The sequence below is a fragment of the Homo sapiens genome, chromosome 7 (assembly GCF_000001405.40).
Source record: "Homo sapiens chromosome 7, GRCh38.p14 Primary Assembly".
In the NCBI taxonomy this organism is placed as follows: Eukaryota; Metazoa; Chordata; class Mammalia; order Primates; family Hominidae; genus Homo; species Homo sapiens.
The window spans coordinates 134460760-134469618 of record NC_000007.14 but is presented as its reverse complement, the minus strand read 5'-3'; the positions used below and the strand labels follow the sequence as shown (position 1 = coordinate 134469618).

General features: G+C 42.7%; 1 pseudogene, besides 1 other annotated feature; it reads right to left on the bottom strand.

Moving 5' to 3' along the window:
- LOC100887077 (endogenous retrovirus group 48 member 1, envelope pseudogene) lies at positions 242-1296 on the bottom strand (annotated as a pseudogene).
- Positions 5954-6454: an enhancer, noted in NCBI's record as "H3K27ac hESC enhancer chr7:134147917-134148417 (GRCh37/hg19 assembly coordinates)". NCBI's record gives its function as "activates a minimal SCP1, AML or CMV promoter by ChIP-STARR-seq in naive H9 embryonic stem cells {active_cell/tissue: H9 hESC(naive)}" and the evidence as "EXISTENCE:reporter gene assay evidence [ECO:0000049][PMID:30033119]".

Below are 8859 nucleotides of genomic sequence, written 5' to 3'. Positions count from 1 at the left end.
AAAGAAAAACTTAATTTTGGGGGTATTCCTGAGAGACGGGTTGGTATCCATTGTGTCGTCGTAGCAGGATTGTCTGGTGGTTAACTGTAGTTTCAACAAGACTTTTAATGGCTTTTATTATCAGTGGGATAATACGGGGGAGAAACAGAAGGAACCCAGTGGTGAAGACTACTGTCCCTACCAGCGTTTTAAATCCTCCTAAATTAGAGAACCACCCTCCTAGGTTTGCTGGTTCCCATCCCTTCCAGGTTTGGACTGTACATGGGCTACTTTTCTTATGTTTGAAGCGATTTCTAGAAATGCTTTTCTATTATTGTCTATGTTAAGACAACAATTGGAGATACTAAACTTACCACAGACCCCACCTTCTTCTGCTAACAAGTAGTCTAGTGCTAGCCTGTTTTGATAAATTGCCACGCGCATTTGATTTTGTTGTTGCACGACCATTTCCAGGGCTGAGGAGGTTTGGTTAGTGTTTATTTCTAGAACAGCCTGTAGTCTAATTATTCTATTTAGCAAATATATGGGAGTGCGATCACCCGATGAACCATTCTCAGCCCAAGTGGCCGGACCATAATATTCGATGATCCGTTGTGGAGGCGCCTCATCCTCTTGCCATCTTTGGCTTCATCCTACCTTCAAGGATCGTTTTTCTTTGTTTAGGTTATCATACACAGGGACTTCGAGGGTGTTGCCCACCTGCTTTGGAAGTCAAAAGAATCCAGGTTTAATTGTTCCTAGGAAGAAAGTACCTTGCCAGTGATAAGGTGGCCACAAGTAAGCCTGGGTTCCACATATCCAAAGGAATCCATCAGGGGCAATCCATTGTAGGCTGGTGTTCATAGGATTGTTCCATTGTGCACTTAGGTGGGGGTATGTGGCATAAGGGTTAGTGGTGTTTGTACAGTTCCAGCCCCTTTTTGACGAGACATGATTGAGGTAGCTTAATTTAGAAGGAGACCAGGCTCTGTGGAGTAACCTTTGCCACCACTCTGCTGCGGAGGTGTTGACTGTTAGGGTTTGGTGACAGGGACTTTTACCTATGGCACGATGGGTTTTATTAGCCCACTTGCGGGATATGCACACCGTCCCTCTTACCGGGTTGGTAAGTGTCCAGGACTGCAGGTGTTCCTGAGGAGTGAAAGTGAGGCTGGAGTTTTGGGATGCTAGTAAGTAAGGGAGAGTGTCTATCCCATACCACGGCCACTGTTCACTCACACGAGCTCCCCCGCATACCCAACAATTGCACACATTCATGGTAAGCACGATGCGTTCTCCTAGATCTACAAGCAGGTTTCTTTCCTGGCTTGGGAAGGGATAGGCCTGCTTGTAGTTTTGTATAAAGAGGTGGAAATACCATGGGTGTTTTTTTTGGGGGGGGAGTTGTTGATTTTGGCCTTTGCTTTGGCTACAATCTGTTCTCTCTTTATGTCCTCTAGCACTTCAGTGTTTACTCTCCATTGTCCAATTTTGGTGAAGCAAAGCCACTGCTTACCTTTTGCACATATAGCCCCGTTATACCTGCCAGATACTCCTAGATTTTTCACTTTATAATAACTTTTCCCTGATTCAACACATTCCTTGACTAACGTTCCATAACAGGATTTTCTATATTATTATGGTAAGTAAAGGATTGTTGCATTTTTCCTCCGTAGTGGAAAGACAGATAACACTCACATCACAGCAGCTTGGAGGGGCTGCTGTGGACAGCAGGGTGGCTACTGACAGTATTAGGATTGTGGTGAGGGATATAGGAATTAAGACCTTTGGTTGGAAGTGAGGCACAGCAAGCGGTTGGGTAGATACAGGCCATCTCTGGAAGCAGGTGATTAGTCTTCCTCGCGTTTAGGCTTTCTAGGGGGTTTTTGGCTTTAAGAACAATTTTTGGGTTAATTTAAGCTTGGTAGGAGAAATTGGCCTGGAGGACCACTTAGCTGTTAATGTTTTAGAGGAAGAAATAGCCTTGGGGGTGAGCTTGACCTGGTGCGATGGATCCCGCGGGGGAGCCCTTGTACTCTCATTGCAGTTGGCGTGCTGAGTACCACAGTGTAGGAGCCTGTCCACTTCAGTTGTAGCTTTTTGCGAGGGTCAGGTTGGCAGATAAACACGTCTGTGCCTGCAAGACAGTTATGTTGAGAAGACAAGGAGGTGTCGACAGGGAGAGGCATGGTCTCATTTGCTGCTTCATGAATGAAAATCCAGTGTCTAGATTAAGGAGAAGAGGTAATTCCTGAGTGGCTCAGAGTCTGGAAAGGGTGGAGGCTCCAAGACAAAAGTTCAGCCACACACGATTTCAAAGGGACTATAAAAAGAGGATGCCTTTTGTGTTGCGTGGAGTCTCATGAGGGTGAAAAGGAGGTTTTTTGTACATGACTGGCAGGTTTCTAGAGCCGGCTTGGTGAGTTGGGCTTTAAGGACAGAGTTAACTTTTTCAATTTTGCCTGAAGATTGAGGCCTGTAGGGTGTGTGGAGAACCCATTTTATACCTAAGGATGTAGAGATGCCTTGGGTGATTTGACTGATGAAGGTGGGCCTGTTATTGGACTGGATGGATGTTGGGAGTCTGAAACAGGGAATTATATGCATGATGAGGGTTTGTGTGATGATATTTGCACCTTCTGAAGTTGTCGGGAATGCTTCTACCCACCCGGAGAAAGTACAGACAAAGACTAGAAGATAGCAGAGCCATTTTTTGGGCAGCATGTGAGTGAAGTCTACTTGCCATTCTTGCCTGGGTACCTGGCCTCGGGCTTGTTATTGATTTCTAGTTTTATTCCATTGTGGTCAGAGAAGAAAGTTGATATAATTTCAGTTTTATTTATTTATTTATATGTTTGTTTGTTTTATAGTAACGGGGTCTCATTCTGTCACCCAGGCTGGTTGGAGTACAGTGATGCAATCATAGTTCACTGCAGCCTTGAACTCCTGGGCTCAAGTGATCCTCCTACCTCAGCCTCCTGAGTAGCTGGGACCACAAGAATGTGCCATCAGCCCCAGCTAATTTTTTTTCTTTTTGGTAGAGACAGGATCTTACTATTTTGCCTAGGCTGGTCTTGAACTCCTGGGCTCAAGCAATCCTCCTGCCTTAGCCTCCCAAAGTGATGGGATGACAGGCCTGAAGCACTGCACCTGGCCTTCAAAAATTTTTAGAATCTTATTTTGTGTCCTAACATATGGTCAATACTGGAGAATGTTCCATGTCCTGACAAAAGTAATGTGTATTCTGCAACTGTTGGGTAAAATATTCTGTAAATATTTGTTAGGTCTACTGAGTCTATAGTGCGATTTAAATTTGATGTTGCTTAATTGTTTTTCTGTCTAGATGAATCTGTCCAATACCAAGAGTGGAGTTTGGAAATCCTCAGCTATCACTCTATTGGAGTATATCTCTACCTTTCAATCTAATAATGTTTGCTTTATGTATCTAGGTGTTTCAGTGTTAGGTGCACATACATTTCAATTGTTATATTCTTTTGCTAAATTGATTCCTTTATTATTACATAATATCTATTTTTCTTTTTAGCTTTTTATTTGAATTCTGTTTTGTCTGATATATCTACTCCTGCTCATTTTTTTGTTTCCTTTTGAGTAGAGTATCTTTTTCAATCACTTTCTATGTGCATCTTTGCAGGTTAAAAGAGTTTCTTGTAGGAAGCATATAGTTGTGTCCTCTTTCTTTTAATTAACTCAGCTAGTCTATATCTCTTAAATGAGAAATTTAATCCATTTACATTCAAGGTTATTATTGATAGTTGAGGACTTACTCCTGTCATTATTAATCATTTTCTGGTTGTTTTGTATGTCCTTTGTTCTTTATTTCCTCCCTTATTATTTATTTTTGTGGTTGCGTGGTTTTATGTAGAGATAGGTTTGACTTCCCTTTTTCCTTTGTGTATTGGCCCTACCAATGAGTTTTATAGTTTTACGTGTTTTCACGATGGTGATTAGGGTCTTTTCACCTCTAGATGTATGACTCCCTTGAGCATTTTTGCAAGGCTGGTCTAGTGGTGATGAATTCCGTTAATTTTTGCTTGCCTGTGAAAGATTTTATTTCTTCTTCATTTCCAAAATACGGATTTGCTGGGTATAATATTTTTGAGTGGTCGTTTTTTCTTTCAGTATTTTGAATATATCACCTCTTTTTCTCCTGGCCTGTAAATTTCTGCTGAGAAATCCACTGTTAGTCTAGTGGGGATTGTGTTATAAGTCATTTGATGCTTTTCTCTTGCTGTTTTTAGAATTATTTCTTTGCCTTTGCCTTTTGACAATTTGACTATAATATGCCTCAGAAGAGGCATATCAACCTGTTTGGGTTGACTCTATTTGTGATTCTTTGAGCTTTCTGAATCAGGATATCAGTCTCTCTCCCAACATTTGGGAAGTTTTCAGGTATTATTTTATTAAATATGCTTTTTTTTTTTGAGATGGAGTTTCACTCTGTTGCCCAGGCAAGTGCAGTAGCATGATCTCAGCTCATTGCAACCTCTACTTCCCAGGTTCAAGTGATTCTCCTGCCTCAGCCTCCCAAGTAGCTGGGATTACGGGTGCCCACCATCATGCCCGGTTAATTTTTGTATTTTTAGTAGAGACAGGGTTTCACTATGTTGGCCAGGCTGGTCTCAAACTCCTGACCTCAAGAAATCTACCTGCCTTGGCCTCCCAAAGTGCTGGGATTACAGGCACGAGCCACTGTGCCTGGACTTATTTCATTAAATAAGTTTTCTATATCATTTCCTTTATACTCTCCTTCTGTAATACCATAATGCAAATATTTGTTTGCTTAATGGTGCTTCATAACTCCTGTATGCCTCCTTTTTTCTTTTTATCTTTTTTGTTGGTTTGCTTGTTTTATTTCAAATGACCTATCTTTTAAGTTCAGAAATTCTTTCTTCTGCTTGATCTCATCTGTCATTGAAGCTCTCAGTTGTATTTTTATTTTATTCATTGAATTCTTTAGCTCTAGGATTTCTGTTTGGTTCTTATCATTGTTGAATTTCTTATTCAAATCATGAATTGTTTTCCTAATTTTGTTGAGTTTTCTATCTTTATTCTTTTTTATTTCATTGAGTTTCTTTAAGATTATTATTTTGAATTCTTTTCCTGGCATTTTGAGTATTTCCTTATTATTGCAATTTGTTACTGGAGAATTACTGTGTTCCTTTGGAAGTATTATGTTTCCTTGCTTCTTCTTGTTTGATGTGTCCCTACACTGATTTCTACACATCTGGTGGAACAGTCACTCCTTCCAATTTCATGGAGTAGGTTTTATATGGAAAGACTTATTCTCATAGATCGGTCTTGGGGAGTAGCTTCAGGGCAGTGCGTTGGCTTTGTTTCTAGGTGCATGCAGTAGTGTAGCATCTGCATAGTTTCTTCAACTATAATCTATCCTTGCAATGTTTATGAGTATCTCGGTGTCCTAGGCTGAGAGATTTTGTGGCAGTGGCAGTGCAGCTTTGCCATGGTGGTCTTGCCAGGCCTTTCTCATGTCTGAGTGCATGTGTGGCCACATTGGGTTGGCCAACTTTGGGTCTGGCTCTCTGTGATTTAGTGCCATGGGGCTGTTTCCCAAGCCTGGGGGTCAGGTGTGTGGCTGCTTTGATGGCCCGCCTGCTTGCCTTCTAAGGATTGCCTATGGGGCTATCTCCCAGGCCCAAGATATGAGTGCATGGCTGCTTGGCTGCCTGGAAGTGTGTTTGCCAGGGCAATCCACAAGGCCATTTCTCAGGTATGGGATGCAGCCACACACCTTCTTGGCTGGCCTGGGTGCATGTCTGCTGGGGGTGGCCAACAGGGCTGTTTCTCAAGCGTTGACTGCACATGCAGGTCCTTTGGGCAGGTCAGCAGCATGTCCATGGTAGGGGTGTGGTCCCATGCTGCTACTGTGTCTTAGGCCCTGGGCATGGGCACACAGCTGCTCTGTGGGCCCAGTGGCATGTCAGCTGTTAGGTGGATCAAGGACCTCTCTCACTTGGGAGAGGGTGTGCAGCAGTTTAGCTGGCTTAAGGGTAGGCTCTCCTCAGACAAGACTTCCAGAGTCTTCCTCCAACTGTAAAACCAGACAGTGTAGGTTGGTTTCACTGCTGTGCAGGACCAGAGTCACAGGCAATTCTGGGCCCAGAATCCATGCAGCTGGAGTTGTGGGATTCAGCCACCTATGGGCTTCACACAGCTACTCAGTCAGCTTCTCAAGTTTCTCCAAGCCCTGGTTGTGAATGCGAGGCAATCCAAGGGTGTGTTCATGGAGGGAGTAGGTGCTACAGGCCTGTTTTTCAGGCCCTGTACATCTGCATATGGCCACTCTGCTGGCCTGGGGGCAGGCATGTCAGCTGTTTGATGGGCTAGGGACCTCTCCTGCTTGAGGGAGGACACACAGCCATTTGGCTGGCTTAAAGGAAGGTTCACCCTGGGTGAGACTGTCAGACTGTTCCTCCAGCTGTATTGCAGATGACAGGGGTTGGTTTCACTGTGGTGCAGGACCAGAGTCATAGCCAATCCTGGGCCCAGTCTTTGTGCAGTTGGCCCACATGTGGGCTTGGTGGAATGAAGATGGAGCCCCAGTGCTGGAGAAGTGCAATGGCTACGGCCCCCAGAGCAAGGCACAGTCCAGAAATGGCTCTAATCTCAAGATGGCGCCATGCTGCAGCAGCTTGGCTCACTAAGGGAAGGGTGTGTACACACCCTGTGCTCCTAATCCGGAGTGATACAGCTATATGGATTCCCAGAAGCTCTTCAAACTGGGCACGGGGCTTGCAAGGACTGTGGGATTATTTTGTAATGAGGACTGGAGTCATTTACAGTGGCAATGGAGACTGGTGAGGTTCTTTTACCTTCTCCCTAAAAGGGGACTTCCCTCCTGTCTCTGGGCTGATGCAATTGTGGCAGGCAAGATGGGGCTACAGAGGCCATGTGCCTCCATGGTACTCTCTTGGGCTTCCAATCACTACAAGTACCCCTTTACTCCCCCATTGCACTTTAATGCTCTTTTTTCATAATTGCAGTTAAATATTAGCGGTTTATTTATTCCCTTGGTCCTTTCTTATGGTGGGGACAAGAACTAGGCATTTCTAGTCAGCCTTCTTCCTGACGTCACTCATTCCAAAATTCTTAGTGTGAGTCACAGTTTAAAAATTTGAAAGCTACTGGTAGTGGTTAAGAGTTTGAGTGCTATAGTCAAATTCCTAGGTTTAAATATTGACCCTAACATTTACTTAATGTGAGATCTTAGCAATTTTTCTCACTTCTCTGCATCTCAGTTTCTTCACGTGTAACATGGATTGATCATAGTATCCATGAAAGGGGTGGTTATGAAGATTAAATGATTTAATGTACATAACTCAATAGATATATAAGCAGCAGCAGCAGCACCTTCATATAACATATGCCAAGTGCTGAACCATAATACAGTGTCCAAACCATAATAAAGACTCAGTAGTGGTTTGTCGTTGTGGAAGAGACTTCTGTTGCTCACCATACCCATTCACTTCTGTTTTCTGGCATACAGGAGGATGACACTTCCCCATCCCATTGAAGATAGGCCTGGCTGGGCTCTACCACCAGATCTGGTTAAAGGATTATAGGTAGAAGTGATGTGTGCCACTTCCAGGACTGAGCAATTGATTGCTCATTTGAGACTCTTAGGTTCTCTTTTGCCTTCCTAAGCCAAACCCTGAAACCTTGGGTTGGGACAGCAGGGAAACAATGTGGTGGGACCTCCATAGCTTGAGTCCCTGAGTGACAATGTGAACAGAGCCTACTGTCACCCTCAGCTCCACCAGCTTGTGTTGGACATGTAGCATATAACCTTTGTTTGTTTATAGAAGCTTTATTGATGTATAATTTACGTACCATATGATTTACCTTTTTAAATATGCAATTGGGTGGTTTTTTTGTATATTCAAACTTGTACCAGATCTCGCAGGGCCTTGAATGCCAGGCTCAAGAGTTTAGGTTTTATCCTATGGGAATTGGACAGTTCATAAGAAGTTGTCTTTTAATTCAAAATGTGTTCATTAAGGAAATAATCTGACAAAGAGTATTCCCCATTTCCTTCTGTCTTCTTCCTAAATTTCCTAAATGTTATAGGTTGTATTTTCCTTCTTAGCATCATTCCATAGCTATATGACTTTGTTTTCTACTTTCACCTTAACATTACCTCATATACATTTTTCTCTGTGTCTTTGTCATCTTTACTTTTGATGGCTACACCTTATCTCTTGCTATTGTTGGATATTTACAGTTTTACTTTAAGTATACAGCATTTTAAAAATACATACGCATATGTGTATATCTGTGTGCAGGCCTGGGACTAAGGGAAGGCAAGTGCCAAGGACATAAATGTAAAAAAGCTCCTACCTTCTGGCATGAAAATTTGTACCTGTGTACCTCATTTGTCTTACCTTGGTCCCAGCCCAGCCCTATACCTAGTGTGTGTGTGTGTGTGTGTGTGTGTGTGTGTGTGTGTGTGTGTGTGTGTTTTCCTTTTAAATTATTTCCTTAGGAAAAATTCCCATGATGGGAGATTACTGGTTCAGAGCATGTTAAGATTCCAATTACTAGAGTGTTTCTCAGGAGGATTCCATTGAAGGTTTTTTTCCCTTTTTCAAACAAAATTTTGATATGTATACTTATCAAAAGATGGGAGATCAAAAATCTTGAGATCAAAAATTTTGGTATGTGTACATTTTACAAAGATTACAGAGGCAATGGGGGATGTTAGGGGGCTATCACAATAGCATGTCCCAACTAGAGTGCTATTGTTGCTATAGAAATTCCACTGATACAACTTTTCATGTCTGCATGGCCCAGCCAAAATATTCTGGGTTTATTTATTTATTTTACAGACAGGGTCTTGCTATG